The following is a 20,778-nucleotide window of genomic DNA, read 5'->3' as shown; positions in this document are numbered from 1 at the left end:
TCTCTCTTCTGAACCCTGTCATCTGTTTCACTCAACCGTCAGTAGGCATTTCCCTCACTTTAGGCTTTGGACTGGTTTTCTCATGGTCTTTTCTTCTTTGATACTCTCCCAATCCCCAATTTACATTCTTTCCCCTGTTCTTTGTCAGGTTTTGTTTTGTTTGTTTGTTTGTTTTTGAGACAGAGTCTCGCTCTGTCACCCAGGCTGGAGTGCAGTGGTACAATCTCGGTTCACTGCAAGCTCCACCTCCCAGGGTTCATGCCATTCTCCTGCCTCAGCCTCCCGAGTAGCTGGGACTACAGGCGCCCACCACCACGCCTGGCTAATTTTTTGTATTTTTAGTAGAGACGGGGTTTCACCGTGTTAGCCAAGATGGTCTCAATTTCCTGACCTCATGATCCGCCCGCCTCGGCCTCCCAAAGTGCTGGGATTACAGGTGTGAGCCACCGCACCTGGCCCGTTGTCAGTTTGAATGGATCCCAGCTCCCCACCTCCCAGCTGAGATTTTAACGACACCCAATATGCATTCTTTGGACACTCACTGTGCACAATTATACTATAGTATATAGTTACGTTAGGCACTGGGCATACAATTCCGGACCAACAAAACATCCTGCCCTCACACATCCTATAATCCATCAAGGAAGGCCTTAATCAAGTAATTTCAGGAGTGAGGTGTAGGATGAAAGAGGAGGAGCAGGTCACTGCAGAAGTTGATATTAAGGGGATCTAGCCTAGTTTGGGGGTATAAGGAAGCCAATCAGGAGAAGTGAAGTTTTGATTGGAACTTTAAAGGTTAACTGGGAGATGGCTCAATAACCAGTGTAGGAATTGGGATTAGGACAATGCATGTGAAATGCAAAAGTCAGAAAGAATAGTGGGGAAGGAAGTAAAGATGACAAATATGGCTGTGGTATGGAATTCACAAAGGGCATTTGAATCCAGTGAAGCTGCAGAGAGGCAGGCCAGGCTGGTAAACACTTGTCAATCATGTGGGGGCGGGTCAAGGGCATCATCCTAAAGACAGTGGGGAGGTCCATAGGAAGTTTCATTAGGCAGCAGGCAGAGTGTCCAGATTCACATTTTTAAAAGATTAATCCAACACTAGTAGGGAAAATGATTTGGAGAAGGGCAGGAACCCATGTGAGGAGACCACTGGAGGGGGTTATACAGCCCAATTAAGAGACAATATGTTGGTTTTGCAAGAAAATCTGTGTCCTCATTGTTTCTGCTTTACCTGCCCCTCATACTTTTAAGATTTGACCTTGAAAATGTCCACTGCATGCTTCTTTTCATTCTCACTGACCAAATTCAAGCTTCTTTTTTTCCCCTGGTCTATTGCAGCGCTTTACTCTCTACTGACTTATCTTCTATTTCCCGTTTCTCCATGCCAGTGGCGTACAGGTGTGCTGTCAGACTTAGCTCCCTAAAACACACTTGGTTGCTCCCAAATGCGACAAAATTAAGTCCAAACTCTTCTCCCTTGATCACAGCCTCTGCACTGTGGTCCCTACAAATGCTGCCAGCTTTCTCCACCATCACAAGCTCCTACCGTAACTTTCCTACTTCACGCTCCCCTTGGCTCACTAACTCACAAATATACAGACATGCTATGTTTTACAAACTCCTCCTAGAATATCTTTCTCTTCCAACTCACTCATAAAAAATTTTCATCTTTGAAGACGAATTTCAAGCCCAGCTTCCTCCTAGATGTCCCCAATCAGAATTTTTCCTTCCTGCGCATGTTCCAGTGATTCTTTAAGTGATGTGTTTTCCCTCTGATTAAGCTTCTTACCCTTGCTTCACCATTTATTAGAGTCTACCTCCTATTTGAGTCAGTACATATGAGATAGGCTTTTCCACTAAATTCTGTTTCTGAGGGCTAGGGAGATTTGTGGTAGTCATTTCTGTGTTGCACATAGTGATTTGCCTGCCCTGTGCTTATAAAGGCTCAACAAATTTTAAATAAATTTTTGGGTGATGATAGGCTGATTGGACTCCAAAACTGCAAATTTATCTGAGCCACATACCCAGAGCCCATTCTGGTTATAATATTTTGGGTTGATCAAATACAGAACATTTTACTAGCAGTATTGTTTTTGTTTCAAAAGCTGGCTAAATGCAACATGTCTCAGTAAGAGTAACAATTAAGTATTTTATTGAGAAGTGCTGAATTCTTTGTTGAAAGCTGAAATTTATTCTGTAAGTATTTTGTGAGCCCTAATTATATCTCTGGCTCTGTGCATACAGCAATGCAAATCGGTGTTCTGGAAGCACCTAACAGGTATTTTCATAAGGACTTGAGGTTTTCCATCAAGAATTGCAGGAGGCTGGGTGCAGTGGCTCATGCCTATAATCCTAGCACTTTGGGAGGCCAAGGCAGGGGGGGATCATGAGAGGTCAGGAGTTCGAGACCAGCCTGTCCAACATGGTGAAACCCCATCTCTATGAAAAACACAAAAAAAAGTTAGCCAGGCATGGTGGCAGGTGTCTGTAATCTCAGCTACTTGGGAGGCTGAGGCAGGAGAACTGCTTGAACCTGGGAGGCGGAGGATGCAGTGAGCCAAGATCGCACCACTGCACTCCAGCCTGGGCAACAGAGCGAGACTCCATCTCAAAAAAAGAATTGCGGGAGAATATACATTAATAAATAAAGCTTAATAAAGCTGGAAAAAATAGCTCATTCCTTTGTTCAGAAGTTATCTGTCACCTAATTCAGAAGTGAAAAAAAGGCAGCCAAGGAAAGGTATGACAATACAACAGATATATTGTCAATATAATAAAAAGTATAAAAAGAGAAAACAAACTTATTAGAATATTGCCAATTGCAGTTTATTTAGGGCTTGATTAATACTATAATTTTATCCTTTTCTTAGCTCTAATATTAGTAAAGCCCTGCAACAAGCAGGTTTTATAATTTTCTTCTCAGTGTCACTTTACACCATAGGCTAGGAAGCATCAGTAGATGCTCAGCAATAATTACTGCATTTATTGAGTTCCAATGTATGCCCCACATTGTTTTAGAAACTGGAGATAGGCAAAACTCAATTTATAGTCTCAAATAGCTTGCAAAGTAGTATCTTATATAGGAATTGAATTGCTTCCAGGGAAAAATAAAGGAATATATTACTAGAAGAAGGTACTTGTGTAGGAAGCTCACAATTTTTTTTCCAGGCTAGATTGAAACTGGACATTAGAGACATACTCTGTTATTTTCTGAAATGTGAGTGCTAACTATGGAAAAATAGAGCATAAACTCTCAGAACACAGTAGGTTAGTAGAGGTTAAATGTAAGAAGACTTTTGTGGAAAAAATATGTAAATTATGAGGAGAGAATGCATTCAGAATGAGTAAAGAATATTTTTTAGATGTCTGCTGTATGCATATATAAAGATCTGTGGCTTCAAATTTGACTAGATTTTGTTTGTTTGTTTTTCAAAATCTTTTCTAAGAATTGCCCTGGTGGAAAATATTCCTGAAGGCCTTAACTATTCAGAAAATGCACCATTTCACTTATCACTTTTCCAAGGCTGGATGAATTTACTCAACATGGCCAAAAAGTCTGTTGACATAGTGTCTTCCCATTGGGATCTCAACCACACTCATCCATCAGCATGTCAGGTAAGCTACATCCTCTGTGTGTGTGATGATTTTACTTATGTGCATTTTCCACTCCTTAGTATTCTGCTCCTCCACTCCTCAAACTCAAGCTCATTTATTTTAGTCTACACACACCCAGAGTACATGTACATTATTACATTTATGTAGATGTGTCGTTGTTAATCATATGTCACTCAGCTCCTACTAGAATGCCAGGTTTGCAAGGACAAAATTATGTTTCATCTTTGCCTACAGTCGGCTCTTTATACAGAATTGCTGTGTTGTACAACTTCAGGGCGTGCTATTTACATGATAATCTCTGTCAATGGCATGGTCCAGAATTCTGCTTCGCCCAACTAGCGTGTTTACAGTTCTAATTCTGTAACTGCTCGCTGAGGCATTTATTTGGTTAATTTGTGTTATAATTCACCTTTCAAGTTATAATTCACCCACAGCCACATTTTTTTAATAGAGTGAAATTTCCCAGGATAGTTGTTTTTCTCGACTGTCGTATTTGGATGAATGGGAAAAAGAAATATGCTTATCTCTTTTCAAAAATAAGGCTCGGAGAACTACCTTTAGAAAACTGACTTAATGATCTAAACAATTTCTGAATAAAATGCTCTGGGTGTAAGAAAATGGTGCTGGTGATTTTAGTGTTTTTCTTTATATTGGTACAACCATGATAGTTTACATTAAGCTACCCTATCTAAATATATAGCCATTGGCCTACACTTAAATATCATATGTAAGTCAAGGGCAAAATAAGTTTTGTCTCCTTTTATGCAAAATGTAGTGGTATTAAGCTTATAATCATGATCTCATTGGTACTTTGAAAGCTATTGAATCTATTCAATTATACTATTTTAAAGTCAAAAGTTACTGGAAAATAAAAACAAAAAACAAAAAACACGAAGGCCGTAACTAAAGAAGAATGGAATGAGTTTACTAACTGTGTTCTACACTTTTCCATCTCTACTAAAGTTTAAGTAAGTGTTTCAGGATTTATTATTCCATAATGTCTCCTAAAATATAGTGGTTTAAAGAAATAGTATCTATTTGTTCATGATTCTGGGCAGGGTTGGGCAGAGAGGACTTATCTCTGATCCATATGGTATTGGCTGGGGTGGGTTGCCTGGGGATGGAGAATCCTGGATGGCTTTCCTCACATATCTGGTATCTCAGCTGGGGTGACTGGAACGTCTGGGATGGCTGAGTCTCTCTGCATGTTCTGTCATGATTCAGTAAATCATCTTGAGCTCTTTACATGGTGGTTGGATCCTCAGAAGGCAAAGAGCTCTGGAATCCTAGCATGTTGCTCCCAATCTATTCCACTGGTAGAAGCACGTCTCAAGTCCAGGAAGGGAGGAGCAACATCCAAGTACAGGAATGAGGATTATTGGTGGCCATCTTTGGAAATAACATACCACAGCCCATTCTCTGGCCATAGCAATTCATATCTCTCTTTTACATGCAAAACACATTCACCTTATTCCTCAAAGTGGGAATTCTACTACATCAAGGGCTCTGGAAGGAAGCCAGAGATCACCTCCAATACCCCTTTTGCTCTTACGTGGGCTCTTTGGCTAGATCTAGAAATTGACACCAGGCAGATTAGCAGGAGAAAAGTCTACAGATTTTATTAGTTTTACTCGTACATGTGGATCTTCACAAGAGAGCGAAGTCCAAAGAAGTGGCCAAAGTAAGATGTTTTTATACTTTTTAGACAAAGAATGATAAATTTGAGGAGAAATGACAGGACAAAGGGGATGTGTGTGGGGGCAGTCAATTTCTAGGGGAGTCACTAGGAGATATAGAAGGGGTATAAAACCAGTGGGAGATAGGATCACTTCATTAAGTGTGTTTATTCAGGTCCATGGCAGCCCCCAGTTTCCCGTCTCTGGTGATAAGGGCTATTTTCTCACCCTGGTACAGGGAGGATGTGCTTCTCAGAAGAATCTTTATGGTTTGCTGCCCACAGGAAGAGACAGGTCAGCGATCCCTTACTGAACTACAATTTTCCCCGTGTTTTCCACTTGAAATAATCACCAATATACCAACCTGACATATTTTGAGATGGCACATCCCTCACTCCTTCAGCTCAAAATCCAGAGTCTCTTTATTTGCATCAGGTCTGGATCTGAGTGAGGATTCTCATGTGGGCTTCTCTTGATTTGGAAACATGCAAGCCAAAAATTTGTCTTTTCTTTAGGCCAGAGCCATTTAAATTCTTCCCTTCTACTTATATTTTTATTTTATTTTATTTTATTTTTGGAGACAGAGACTCGCTGTGTTGCCCAGGTTGGAGTGTAGTGGTGCGACCTCGGCTCTCTGCAACCTCCACCTCCTGGGTTCAAGCAATTCTCCTGTCTCAGCCTCCCGAGTAGCTGGGATTACAGGTTCACACCACCATGCTCAGCTAAGTTTTCATATTTTTAGTAGAGAGGAGGTTTCACCATGCTGGCCAGGCTGGTCTCGAATTCCTGACCTCAAGTGATCCACCCGCCTTGGCCTCCCAAAGTGTTGGGATTATAGGTGTGAGCCACTGTGCCTGGCCCCCTTCTACTTATTTTGAAATGGAGAATAGATTATTGTAAACTGTAGTTTACTTCTATAGTTACTATAGAAGTACTTCAAAAACTTGTAATCTGCCTGAAGAATTTCAGCCAGCTTCACAAGTTCATTAGTTGTATTTTCCATGTTCTATTTTATAGCAGGTGGTACTATTGCAAGCACTCTGCCATTGCATAATACAGATGGCCCTTTCTCAAGGCTTCAAAGGAAATTTCCTACTCTTCTTCCAGCCTTGAATGATAGGAGTAGAGGCTAGCCTCCACCATGACCCAATCCCACATGGCTTTATTTATTTACTTATTAATTTTTTTGAGACAGAGTTTTGCTCTGTTGCCGAGGCTAAAGTGTGGTGGTGTGATCTTGGCTCACTGCAACCTCTACTTCCCGGGTTCAAGCGATTCTCCTGCCACAGCCTCCTGAGTAGCTGGGATTGCAGGCACCTGCCACCACACCAAGCTAATTTTTGTATTTTTAGTAGGGATGGGGTTTCACCATGTTAGCCAGGCTGGTCTTGAACTGACCTCAAGTCATCCACCCACCACGGTCTCCCATATGACTTTAGGTAGATGTTATTGATGTAGAAAGGTAGATGCTAGATGTTATTGATGTAGAAAGATGATAACACTTAGAAGCTTAGTTCAAGTCACTCTCTAACAACTGGCCTGCTGCCAACAAATGGAATTTTTCAACTTACTGCCTATGACCTAACTATCGTTGAACTCACAGGCAAGCTTTTAGGAAGAGACCTAGTTTAGAATAATGTCTTCTGGTAGAGTCATACTGCTCCTGCCGAAGAGACACCTCTTAGCTGCCTCTCATCTCCCTAATAGCAACAGACTTCTGTACAATGTAAAACCAGCTGGTTTTCTGTAGTTTTGAGCCTAATTTTGCTTTGCCTCTTTACAAGGGGGAGATCTGCCTTTGCAAACATGAAGGATAGAGGGGCTTTATCTGCTTTGGGAATTAAATGGATTAAAGGTGCTGTGAGGCTGATCTTGCAGTTCTCGCCATACCTGTCTGTCCCTGGCCATGTCCTGTGGGGAAGCAATGATGTTCGGAGGGTTCTCACTTCAACAAGGTAGTGGAATTTCTCTCCTCTTCTTCTAGTTTTTCTAGTTTGTTGGTGGCCAAGTGACTGTTTCTGCAGAATCTCAAGCCTTTGGTCTCCACTGGCCAAAAGCCAGGCATGGACTATGGTCTTAAAGAGCAAGCATGCAGAATTTAGGGTGTTTTGTTGCCTGAGTGGCTCCCTCTCACCTTGCCCCGATTCCCCTCTCTCAACCCCTAGAGCGGTATGCACAACAGGTTAGCATTAAAAGGTCTGGGGGAACTTATCTGAAGACCGCATTTCTTGGGCACTTAAAGATTAATTTTAGAGAGTTGGGCGTGGTGGCCTGTAATACCAGCACTTTGGGAGGCCGAGGCGGGCAGATCACCTGAGATCAGGAGTTTGAAACCAGCCTGGCAAACATGGTGAAACCCCGTCTGTACTAAAAATGCAAAATTAGCTGGGCGTGGTGGCACATGCCTGTAATCCCAGCTACCCAGGAGGCTGAAACAGAACAATTGCTGGAACCCGGGAGGCGGAGGCTGCAGTGAGCTGAGATTGAGCCACTGCACTCCAGCCTGGGGGACAGAGTGAGACTCTGTGTATCTATAAAAAAAAAAAAAAAAAAAAAAAAAAAAAAAGGAAAAAGAAAAAGATTATTTTTAGAGTCTATTCCCCTCCTTTCCCCCTCTCACTGGGCAGGTAGGGGAATAATTGTGAAGTGATGAAGAATGGAGAAAGGAAACAGGTACTTGCTGCCAACTCCTTCTTTTTGGGTGCAGTTCAAGGACCCCTATATCCTGTTCTTTGCAGATAAAAATCACCAAGTTTTACCCTAAAACTTCACTGCCTATAAAAAGGCACTAACTGAAAGCTACTTTGATTTAAATTTTTACCTGATTTTATCTTTCAAATGGAAAAGGAAATTCAAGACTATCCAAACCTTTCAAACTTTGGGCAGGCAGTCTTTGGACTTGTGTGTGCCCTTTTATCTTTACCAAGACCCTATAAATATTGGCAGATAGTCTCTCATTGGTTTATTGCGTGCAAAAATATGCTAGGAAAAAATAGTTCACACCCTGATTACTCAAGTGAACAAATTTAAATTTTCTTTAAAATATTCTGGTGCCAAACACTATCCTTCACAGATACGTGTGATAAAAAAATGTGTCAGGTTCACAGCTTCTTTTTCATTAATTTTTTTAAAGATAATATTTTTTTAGTTGGGGGACAATAGTCAAATGTGACATTTAATTTTAAACCAACAGAGCCAGAAAAGTCCTAAATGGAACCTTAGATGGCACATACATAAAGAGCAGCCCATAACCAAAAAGCAGCCCAGATGTCTTTTATAATGTAGCAATAAGAAAATATACCAAGAAACCACGTAGCCAGTGGTAGGCAGAACAGCTCAGCAGCAGACGCACACATTTTATTGGTCTGGTCTCTGGAAGAGTAGCAATTTTGTTAGAGTGAGTGTGATGGTTGCTACTAACAGGAATGATGAATATGTGCTTTTTTATTTTGCACACATTTTATTGATCTGGTCTCTGGAAGAGTAGCAATTTTGTAAGAGTGAGTGTGATGGTTGTTACTAACAGGAATGATGAATATGTGCTTTTTTATTTTTCATTTGCATGGAAACAGACATGTTGATTTAAAATGTGTTTTTAATCTGTACCTCCAAAAGGTTGCTGTTTGGGTTTCCACCCTGAAAAACCCACTTTGTTTTTCTTGTCTCTTTCCTGGTGTTAATCTGTTTGTGTTTGTTTCCTTCTGTGCTAAAGGAAACTGGACGGTGCCCTTACTCCGTATCACAGCCTGCTAAGGGCTGCTGAGGTCTAGAGTTTCATGATAACTGTATGTTAGAATTTTATGAAAATACATGGTCGGGCAAAAGGTTTTTGTTTCTGTCTGGATGATGAGTTGCCACCCTAAAATGTTGAAATTCCTGGGACATCTTGATTGCTAATTTATGAGACAAAATGATGGGAATTTATGAAATCAAGCCTGTTCAGAAACAGTCAGGAAATATAACTGACAGAGGCTCATTAGTAGAGCTACCTAATTCACTGGGTTAAAAAAAAAAATCTCACACTCTATGAATTCACTGTGAGGAACCTATAAAATAATTAATGAGCTGCAACAATGGAATCTTAAGGAGATGTATTTATGTGAAATCAATTAGATACTGGTCTACCAGTGAGCTGTGATTGCCAACTGATGATACATCAGAATTGTTTGATTTCGAGAAATTATGATTTTTTAAAATCAAACAGTATTTATGAAATAGCAAGCATAAGAGCTCGGTGATCCAAGAGGTTGTTTTTGGGAAGTACGAGCCTGGATCCTACCTCTACACAGTGGTTAGCAGATCTTAGCAAGACTGCAGAAATGAGCCAGGAGTGGAGCTGAGGTTTTTGTTTTGTTTTGTTTTTTGACCTACTTATTAGCTGTGCAACCTCGGGCAAGAGGATGAACTCTGTATGCCTCAGTTTCCTCAATAGCAAAATCAGGGCGATAACAGAACCTGCCTCATAGGTGGTTGTGCAGATTAAATCAGTTAATACCTGTGAAGAGGATAGAACAGTGTTTGACCATTTTAGTGCCTATATAAGGGTTTGTTATGATCGTGAATATTGTTATTCACATTCACTGATTTGTGTACACACTGTACCTCTGGTTCAAGTTTATTCTGTTAGCAAGTTCTTATTATGGCTCTCACACTGTGCTAGAAATTGGGATGGTTACTGTGTACAATTAGAAGGGGATTAGAGTTTCTGCAAACGTGAGACTCTGGGTAGATAAGAAGTATTAGGCAAATTATCATTGTATGTGGAATTCTTACTTTCATTTGATTTATTAATTATAAATCTTCAAGTGTGTGTGCGCGCACACACCCACAGTCTTACTCTCACTCATCTACTCAAGCAGTTATTGGTTGACACACCCGTTGAGAAGCAGCTGCTCTATCTTTGGAGAAGCAGGGGGCACTTCAGCTTTGGAAAACATCTAGAAGGACTGTTCACCCCCTCACCATCCAAAGCAGCCCCATTCTCAAGAATTCTACAAGCTTAAGAATACCTTTTTTTACCTCTCCATTTGTCCTGAAATTTATGACCAAACACTATCTAGCAAAGTTATCTGGTAAGATTGTGAAATATTTGATCTTAGAACACTATCATTTAATGGAAAATATAACCACAGTCTATATTTGCACGTGTGTGTGTGTATATCTCCCTCTGGACAAATAACATCTTGAATTTTGAAAACACAGTAAATTATGTGGTCTTCTTGAACCTACAGTCCCTCCTAATTTTTGTTGATTGACGTTTTGTTCTATATTGAAGACCCATATGACCTGGCAACATTCATGTGACCCTGCCATTGTGATTCAGGCAGCTGTATCCATGTGTGACTCAGGTCTCCAGGCGCTACCTGGTAGCCCACTCATTCCTTTTCTGCAATATTCTTCCTAACTGATGCGATCAATGCAGTTTGACCAACAGACAAGGGCTTTTGTTTCATCAAACTTATAAAACGTTTCCTTGCCATGTTTGTTTCATAGCCATCCTTACGATTCATTTGTAAATGATATTATTAACATTTTCTATTAAAACCACTGCACGTTTTGGCCCATAATGCCTCTTATCTGTCCTAAGGAAGCCCGCAGCCTGGTGGAGTCCTCTATGGCCCCCTGCCTCCAGCATCTCTTGTTCCCAGGCTCCGTCATCTTTTCCATTCTCCATCTTCCCTGGCTCTCTAAGCCTACTTGTCCTTTCTTGCCCATCCCTACAATCCTAGGCAAGTCTCCATTCCCTCAAGTCTTCTGAAGGAGACTCTTTATTCATTTATCATGCAAACAGTCAGCATCTACTTTGTAACACAGGGCTATGCCTGAAACCCAGAAGAATCCTGTTTTTGACAACGTCACTCCCATGTAAAAGTCTGATAAAACTATCTAATACTCGTGTGGCCTGAACATGGAATATTTAATTAAAATTTCTTAACAATTTTTTTTAACCCAAGAAAATAACATCATAGCATTTCCTAGTTTTCATTTTGCCTGGAAAAAGATTGGCATAGTTGGTGGAGACTAGATCCTTTAAATAATTGAAATTCTTTGAGCCTATTGTAAGTGGCAGGTTGGGTAAAGCAGTCAGGGAAAGCAGGATATTCTGATGCAACATAAAAACACACATTTCATTTTTGTTTTGTTGTAGATCCTGAGGGCTTATACATATTTCTACTATATTATGCAAACTTCCTACCGTCTAGTTTGTCTATTTTTAATGAGGACATAGGGAAAAATAAAACACGTATAAATTAATGAAAGCATAATTAGGATACATACAAATTCTCTGTTGTTATTTGGCTCAGGTGAGAATTGTGTATTTTGTTTATATTTAGTTCTCAGCGCTTGGTTTTATAGAAAAGGCAAATTCGCAGTGTTATTCCAGATCCATGTACTACAGGGGAAAGATCATAGGCTTTGTCATTTATACATTTGATTGACTAATAGTTTAGTAGTTGTGGTCACATTGAACAAATGTCACAACTCATCTGATCTTCAGTGTTCCCATCTATTAATTAAAATTAATTCTGATTTATAAATTTATACCCCTCTATAAAATGGGTATTTTAATAATCCTATCTCATTTGATTGCTTGGTGAATTCAATTAGATAATATTTGTAAAACAATAAAGAATGGAGCTTTTAAAAGATAGCTGTGGTTTTCATTTTTGTTGTTTTGATGCAGGACATTTACTTTCAAATTTAGTGGACACGACTCTCTATGTAATCTTACAAAAAGAATAATATTCAGCTGTCTGTCAAGATTTCAACTTATATGAAAAGAAGTTAAGATAGAAAATTCTACACAGAATACAATTCAAATTGCTCTCTAGGGTTTAGGTGAAGAAAGGAGATGCCGGGCGTGGTGGCCAACGCCTGTAATCCCAGCACTTTGGGAGGCTGAGGCGGGTGGATCACGAGGTCAGTAGGTCAAGACCATCCTGGCCAACATGGTTAAACCCCATTTCTACTAAAATACAAAAAATTAGCTGGGTGTGGTGGCAGGCGCCTGTAGTCCCAGGTACTTAGGAGGCTGAGGCGGGGGAATCGCTTGAACCCGGGAGGCAGAGGTTGCAGTGAGCTGAGATTGTGCCACTGCTCTACAGCCTGGTGACACAGCAAGACTCGGTCTCGAAAAAAAAAAATGAGAGACAGAAAAATACACATATTTTTCAGGTAGACTCCCACTTTTCTCTCCCAATATGGTGGTTTTCAACTGTGGCTGCCAGTCAGAGTCACCTGGGGAGATTTTAAAATACGCTTATGCCCAAGCCCATCCTAGACTAGTTAGGTCACAATATTTGGAGAGGGGCCCAGGCTTCAATACTTCTAAAAACGATGAGGGGATTTTACTGGGCACCCAGGATTGAGAATCACTGTTTTAAACCATCCCGGTCTAATAAACATTGTTCAACTTTCATAGGTTCCAAGATCGGGCCAGGTTGGTCCCTACCCCAGTTTGTCAACCTAACTTTGTGTGTTTCAAATTAATCCTGTGATTGCAATTGTTCCCTCAGTAGTGATGTAAATGAGTAGCAGCTTGTACTTGGATATTCCACATAGCCCTGGACTCTAGGACCCACATCGTATTTATCCTGCTGGTGTTATTGTCCAGCGTACCACCAGTAACAAAATGGAGCTCAGTGATTGCTTTTTGGTTTGAAACAGTAGATTACCTTCAGCCTTTTCATCTCCAGGCTGCATATGATATCAGTAGAACTCCTGGTACAGTGTCAGCATAAAGACAGCATAACCTCACGGAAAGAGTGCCCCTTTATTTCAAAGTAACATCTATTCCCTGCTCCACAGAATCAACACTCAGCAAATGCTTATTTGTTAATTAGCATCCTCCCATTTTAAATGTGGCAACAAAATGATGTTAAATGTGCCTTTATTGAACAAACATTTATCAAGGTGCTGTGCTATTTGCTGGGGATAGAAAATCAAATAAGCAAGGGTCGCTACCTCCATAGAGCTCAAAGTGTGGTGAGGGAGACAGACAAACATAAAACCATTTATAACGATACAGCATAGTAGAACAACACTGAGGGGTGCTCTCAGCAAATTGGCTCATGCAGGATTACCTCTGCTTTTGAACTGTGCAGCAGAGCTCACACGGTGGATTTTGGTCCTGTTTTTTCTTGGTATGTTCCTGCTGCTGCTTCATGCTGCCATTTCCCCATCTGTTGAGTAATCCTGATTATGTTCTTGCTTGCTTTCCAACATATTTCTATGGGAAATCATTATTCTAATATAAACTCATAAGCATTATCATTAGTAAGAGTTTAACCTCTATGATTCCTTTTAAATCCAATCATATGGCCATGAATAAATCATGAACCTAAGATATGCCTTCTAATTGTTCGTATTAATTACTTTCTTTAAGATTGTCTTATCTGAGTTTGCTTGCTTGTATGCTGGTTTATTTTTTCTCTGTATCTTCATTTGTGTTTTTCCTATTTTTCTATGACCATTTTTTTTGGTACTTTCACTCGAATAGGTCAGATTTTTTCCTTTGTCATTAGTAAGAACCTCTCACGATCAAAAATTTGGAAACTATGGAGAAATGAGAGAGAAACCAAATCCTCCAAATGGCCGCCAACAAAAAAAGTTTTTGACAGTTTGATATTTCATGCATAATTTGTATACATAGGCTCATATTATATAAAAAGAATTATATGTTTTGTTTGTTTGTTTGTTTTTGAGACAGGGTCTCACTCTGTCACCCAGGCTGGAGTGCAGTGGCGTGATCTCAGCTCACTGCAACCTCCATCTCCCGGGTGCAAGCAGTTCTCCTGCTTCAGCCTGCCAAGTAGCTGAGAGTACAGGTGTGCACCACCACGCCTGGCTAATTTTTGTATTTTCAGTAGAGATGAGGTTTCACCGTGTTGGCCAGGCTGGTCTCAAACTCCCGGCCTTAAGTGATCCTTCCGCGTCGGCCTCCCAAAGTGCTGGGATTACAGGTGTGAGCCACTGTGCCCAGCCTAAAGAATTGTATCTTAATTTTGAACTTAACATTACAACGTAAGCATCTTTCCATTTTATTAGAAACACTGGTAAACATATTTTAATTGGCTGCATAACATACAATGTATTAGACTTACCAGGTTAAGTTAATATAACTATTTCCCTCTATTGGACATTTAAGCATTTATCTTTTCCCCCTTTTTCTGAATGAGCTGCTGCAGTAAATATCTGTGCGTTTTTTTCTTACTGTCCATTTGCTCAAGATCAATTCTCAAAATGTAAGGATAGGGTATCTGAGCTGCTTTGTTAAGACCATGGAATATTTAGGGAGCATGTGGCAAGTTCTCATGGCTTTTCCCTGAGGATGCTGGAATCTCACTGCAGTGAGGTTTTGAAGGAATTCTCTGTCCATTCTGCGTGGGGTCCTCTTCCCACCTGGAATAAGTGATTGTGGAAGCATTGGGGATATTTGGCACATTCTGGTGTTCCTTTCTTGCCTTGGTCTCCCCTCTTTCCCCTGGAGCAAAGGAATGATGCCAGGCTGTGGATGCTGTGCTCTTCCAGACACTGCTGAAAGGCAGTACCAAGATAATGTTGTCTGTCCCCTCTGCAGCCAGAGTGGACGCTCGAGCAACCCCACAGGTAATTTTCAGCTACTGTAGGATTCCAGCCGCCGAGAGCCTGGTTACCAGCCTCCTGCTTCTGATATTAATCTCTTGCTATTTCCTGGCCCGTGATTGGCATGATGAGCATATTCATCTCTCTTCATCTGTCCCTGACAGGGATGGCTATGTTTATGCCCACAGGGTGCATCATTGAGATAACCATCATTAAGCAAGGCCTTGATGATGAACTGTTCAGACTCATTAAATCCTCTAATGAGGTGGAGCCTGTTATGATGAATGGACAGGCAGCCTGCATGCCTCCACGCCAGATACTCTCCACTGGTTTCAAGCAGATATTCCTTGTGGCTCATTGCCAAAAAATGAGTACTGTCAATCAAGGTGCTGGGTCTGTGGCACTGAACTCCTAAAGCTCTGATTGATCCATTGGGACATCTGTGAAGAGATGAAGCGGCCGCTATCTTCTGGGTTTGGGATAAGGAATTCCATATTTCTCCTGGCACATCCTTAGAACTATTTGCATATTCTGGCCACCACTCCAATTCCCCTCTCTCTCTTAAGCTCCAAGCCTAATCAGCAGGTTCATCACTGTGTTATCTCATAAACAATACCTGGATTCTTTCCAATTTATAAATATTCATATATATTCATATATATATAATTTGTGTATATATACAAATGTATACAATATGTATATATAATTTATATATAATTGTAAATATTAATACATATTTAAATATTCATATATATATGAATATATGAAAAAGGTCTTGCTTTGTTGCCCAGGCTGGGCAGCAGTGGCACAATCATAAGCTCACCTTCAGCTTTATCCTCCTGGGTTCAAGCAATCCTGCCTCAGCCTCTCAAGTAGCTAGAACTATAGGTCTGTGCCACCATGCCCAGCTGATGTTTTTAAATATTTTTAGAAATGTGTCTGGTTATATTGCTCAGGCTGGTCTCCAGCTCCAAGCCTCAAGTGATCCTCCTGCCTGGCCTGACCAAGTGGTTGTGATTACAGGCATGAGCCAGCACACCCAGCTCTTTCCAGTTTTTTTTCATTGCAATTGATACTTCCCTATTTCACCAACCTCATTGCTCTTTCAGTCTCCAGTTCTCCCCTGTAACTATCATTCCCCAATTTGCAGTCCGAGTTCTTTTCTTAGAACAAAAACGTGATTGTGTCCTTCACTGGGTTAAATGCTTCAGAGGGTCCACATTGTCTTCCAGATGAGATCCAAACTCTTCAATGCGTCTTACAAGGCCCTTCATCATGTGACCCCATTTATCTCTCCTGTCTCCTGCCTGCTTTCTGGATTCTGCCATAGGCTCCACCTGGAACATTCTTTCTTCCCTACCTTTCTTTGGGGAACTTTCCCTGAGGCCTTATGCTGGATTATTGATGCCATGCTATGCTTTTCCCTTGCTCTGTCTTCCTCCATCCTGGAATTTGGAATATTGGGCTGTATTTGCTTATCTGTCATCTACATATTCTCCTTGAATATCACTAGTACTTTCAGGTCGCTGACACATAGGAAGCAACCAGTAAATAAATGCTTTGAATGAATTGGCCTAAAAGTCACTTCTCTTTATCCAAGGTCATTTGAGAATAAAGGCTAACACTGACAAATATACAAGGAAATAACCTTCATACTTATATCTGTGGCAAACTTTGTATATCCTACAAACTAAAAATTCAGTAAGATATAAGTAAGTAAATAAATATAAGTAATATAAGTAAATAAATATCAATCTTATAGCAAATTTAACTAATTGATTAAACTAATGAATTAAGCCCAAAGGGGATTCATATCTATATGAATATGAATATATATTCATATATCATATGATCTTTCCTCTTAGGTCATAAATTAAAAAAAAAATCAATGCTAGTATATTGCTTCAAAAGAACACTTTGACTTAAATCCTAAATCTTATTTTCTTAAGACTATAGCATCAAATGTTTAATATGTTCAATCAGTTATATTTCCTTTTTAATTTTCACTTAAACTTTATATGCACGTATACACACACATATATATATGTGTGTAAGTAGGATAATGGTATATCCAAGATAAACTCTTCTGCAATTGGGCGCTTATGTTTCTCTGGGATAGATTTCTAGGTGTAGGATTCCTGGGTGGAAGAAAGCCGATATGTCAGAGTATCATTTCCCCAAATCTCCAAATCTCTGACGAGAGGAAGTGTTGACACTCTTAAATGTTTTTCAGTCTCTTTGAGTACAAAGAAAGGTCTCTTTATTGTGCTGCTTTGAGCTTCCTTGATTACAAAAAGCATCTCCCTATGTCTGTTGGCCATAGAGGCTTGCTTTTCTTTTTTTTTTGGAGACTGAGTCTTGCTCTGTCCCCCAGGCTGGAGTGCAGTGGCGCGATCTCAGCTCACTGCAACCCCCGCTTCCCGGGTTCACGCCATTCTCCTACCTCAGCCTCCTGAGTAGCTGGGACTACAGGCGCCCGCCACCACACCTGGCTAATTTTTTGTATTTTTAGTAGAGATGGGGTTTCACCGTGTTAGCCAGGATGGTCTCGATCTCCTGACCTTGTGATCCACCCGCCTCGGCCTCCCAAAATGCTGGGATTACAGGCGTGAGCCACCACGCCTGGCCAAGGCTTGCTTTTCTTAGTCATTGACTGTTCTCATACTTTGCCTGCATTTTACTGGGCTTTAGGACTTTTATTATTTTTGTTTGATAGAAACAGACCCTCACTATGTTGTCCAGGCTGGTCTCAAACTCTTGGCCTCAAGTGATCCTCCGCCCCCACATGGCCTTCCAAAGCACTGGGATTATAGGCGTAAGCACTGCACCTAGCCAATTTTTAACACATTTTGTAGAGTACAGCTATTATCCCTTCATCTCTCATTTGTGTAGCAAATATTTATTCCAGATTTTCTTATTAACTTTGTAGTATCTTTTGCAGTATAATTTATTTAAATATGTTATAATTCTATATGTCTGTATTCTCTTTTATTACTTTTATATAGCTGGCTTGTATATTCATTTCCTGTGGCTACTGTAACAAATTGCCATGGACTTTTTGGTTTAAGAAACAGAAATTTATTTTCTTACAGACCTGGAGGTAGGAAGCCCGAAATCAGTTTCCCCGGATCAAAACCAAGGTGTCAGAGGGTGATGCTCCCTCCAGTGGCTCCAGAGCCTGCCAGCATTCCTCGGCTCTCCCAGCTCCTGGTGGCTTCTGGCATTCCTTGGCTTGCTGCTGCACCTTCCAGCCTTCAAGGCCAGCATCTTCCATTCTCTTCCTGCTCCATCTTCACAGTGTCTTCTCCTCTAGTTGTGTCAAATCCCCTTTTGCCCATCTCTTATAAGTACACTTGTGATTGTATTTAGGATTATCCTCAGATAATCCAGGATAATCCCCCATCATAAGATCCTTAATTTAATAATGTCTGCAAAGACCCTATTTCCAAATAAGGTAACATTGACAGGCTCCAGAGATTCAGATGCACTATCTTTGGGGAGCCATTTTTTAGCCTGCTAACAGCCTGATTAAGGTTCCCCCATTCCAAGACAGTGCACATCATTGCCTGGATTTTTTTGAAAGTATTAGTGTGTACTAATTCTGACTGGAAACACATTTTTATTTGTAATATAATATAGAGGTCCCTTCATATGTGCCGGATTAAACCTTTTTAACTGTTTCGAACTGAATTAAAATAGCGTCTTTTTATTGATAAAAATATTGTGCCTCTATTTACAATAGCAAAGACTTGGAACCAACCCAAATGCCCATCAATGATAGACTGGATAAAGAAAATATGGCACATATACACCATGGAATACTATGCAGCCATAAAAAAGAATGAGTTCATGTCCTTTGCAGGGACATGGATGAAGCTAGAAGCCATCATTCTCAGCAAACTAACACAGGAACAGAAAACAAAACACCACATGTTTTCATTCATAAGTGGGATTCAAACAATGAGAACACATGGACACAGGGAGGGGAACATCACATGCCAGGGCCTGTTGGGGGATGGGGGGCAAGGGGAGGGAGAGCATTAGGACAAATACCTAATGCATGCCGGCCTTAAAACCCAGATGATGGGTTGACAGGTGCAGCAAACCACCATGGCACATGTATACCTATGTAACAAACCTGCACGTTCTGCACATGTATCCCAGAACTTAAAAATTAAAAAAGAAAAAAAAACAAACAAAAAATCTTGTGCATACCATTTCTGGATTATCTATTAAGTTCCCTTCTATATTTATACATTCTTATGCCTCTACCATGTTAATATGATGAATATGATTTTATAGTATTTTAAAAATAATACTGAAGGTATTTATGGTTATAAATTTCCCTTCCACACCAGATATTGCCTCCTTTCATGGTTTTGCTATGAGGTACCCACCTATTCATAGCTTTCTAGAGAAGGCATACATTTACTTTTCTTCTTTGGTATAAGGACAATCTAAGAGTGAGTTTTAAATTTCCAAATAGATAAGATTTGTTTTATACTCACAAAACATGTAAATGATTTGTTGCTAACTTCCTTAGATTGTGAGCTGAGAATGAAGCCTATAGAATATCTCATTATAACTTTTGTTCAGGCTTCTTAATGGCAGTTACAAGACAGATTTTTGTAAATGTTCCACAAACGAAAATTGTTTTAAGGGGATTTGATATATAGAGTGAGAAGTATATAAAAGTATACATATAATCAAGTTTATTGATAATATATAATTTTTATATAGTCTCATTTGTTTTCTATTAGATCTGCCCAATTTTGAGAAATATATTTTGAAGTATTACATTGTGATAGTGTATTAATTGCATTTCTATTAATTTTTGCTTTATATATTTAGTTGCCATGCTCTTTGGTACATCTCAGTTTACAGCTCTCAAAGCACCATAAATTGTGTCATTTCATAAAAATGACCCACTTTTTCCCATCTAATACCTTAAAGCTCACCTCCATTTTTCGTATAACTTTTACTGAGATTGTTTATCCTGTTGATTGTAGATCAGCATTTCTCAACCTGTTTTTTATTATTATCTTCCTGAGGAGCCTTCTAATATATTTTTTTCTTAATACTGCCTCCCATGATATTATAATATCACAGATATACTGCATATGTGTTCTATGTATATCTGTGTGTTAGTCATCGAAAGAGTAACACTATTTCAGTCCCTTTGGGGCAATATCGCTCCCATTGAGAATGCGTGTAATTGATTCTCAGTAGACCTTCCCCTGTAATGTGTGACTTCCATTTCAAAAACCCACATTGAGTGCATGAAACACATGTACATATCGTATTGTTCCTCACTTATTTCTTCTCCCCTCATCTTCTTTGATGGTGTTCAGTGTTATTTACTGTTTGGTTACAGTTTTTCTTTAAATATGAATATGTTCCCCATATGGGTTAAGTAGGCAAGATAGTCTCTAAGTCTGTTTATATCTGCAAATATTTCTTTCACCCTGGCAGGTAACATTCTTGAGTGTGTAAAGGATTCTTGGGCCTCAGTCTTTGTCTTCCATAGGCTATACAACCATGTACTTGCAGCTGGTTAGATCTCTGCCAGTCTATCTGATTCATTTTCCTTGATGGGTAACTATTGTTTTGGTGAGAGGTTGTTCTTTCTCCTCGATGTTAAGTAATTTTACAGAATATAGCTCTAAGTTTTTTTCAAATTTGCCTTCACCTTCAGGTACCTTTTCACCTTGTAGATTTAGTTCTTCCCTCAACTTGGATCATTTTTTTTTTATTTTGGTATTATTTGCAAACCTAATCTTTTTTGTATGCCTATGAGCCACATGCTGTATCTCCTCTATTTATATATCAGCCTTTTCCCCTGATTCCCCTTATGTTTCTCTCTCTCTCTCTCTCTCTCTCTCTCTCTCTCTCTCTC

General features: G+C 39.9%; 1 protein-coding gene across 9 annotated transcripts in view; it reads left to right on the top strand.

Annotated features, from left to right (window-relative positions):
- The window catches only part of PLD5 (phospholipase D family member 5), a 447,561-nt gene that overhangs the window by 238,564 nt on the left and 188,219 nt on the right, over positions 1–20,778 (top strand). For 8 of the 9 annotated variants that reach the window (XM_011544115.3, XM_011544116.3, NM_001320272.2 and 5 more), the window contains one exon: positions 3,453–3,621. The exons of the other annotated variant lie outside the window; for it this stretch is intronic. In XM_011544115.3, coding sequence (XP_011542417.1) covers positions 3,453–3,621 — 169 coding nt within the window. The remainder of the gene's footprint in view (positions 1–3,452; positions 3,622–20,778) is intronic. 9 annotated transcript variants of the gene reach the window in all.

Source organism: Homo sapiens, chromosome 1 (genome assembly GCF_000001405.40).
Source record: "Homo sapiens chromosome 1, GRCh38.p14 Primary Assembly".
Classification (NCBI taxonomy): domain Eukaryota; kingdom Metazoa; phylum Chordata; class Mammalia; order Primates; family Hominidae; genus Homo; species Homo sapiens.
The sequence above is the reverse complement of the archived record's forward strand: the minus strand, read 5'-3'. Positions and strand labels throughout refer to the sequence as shown.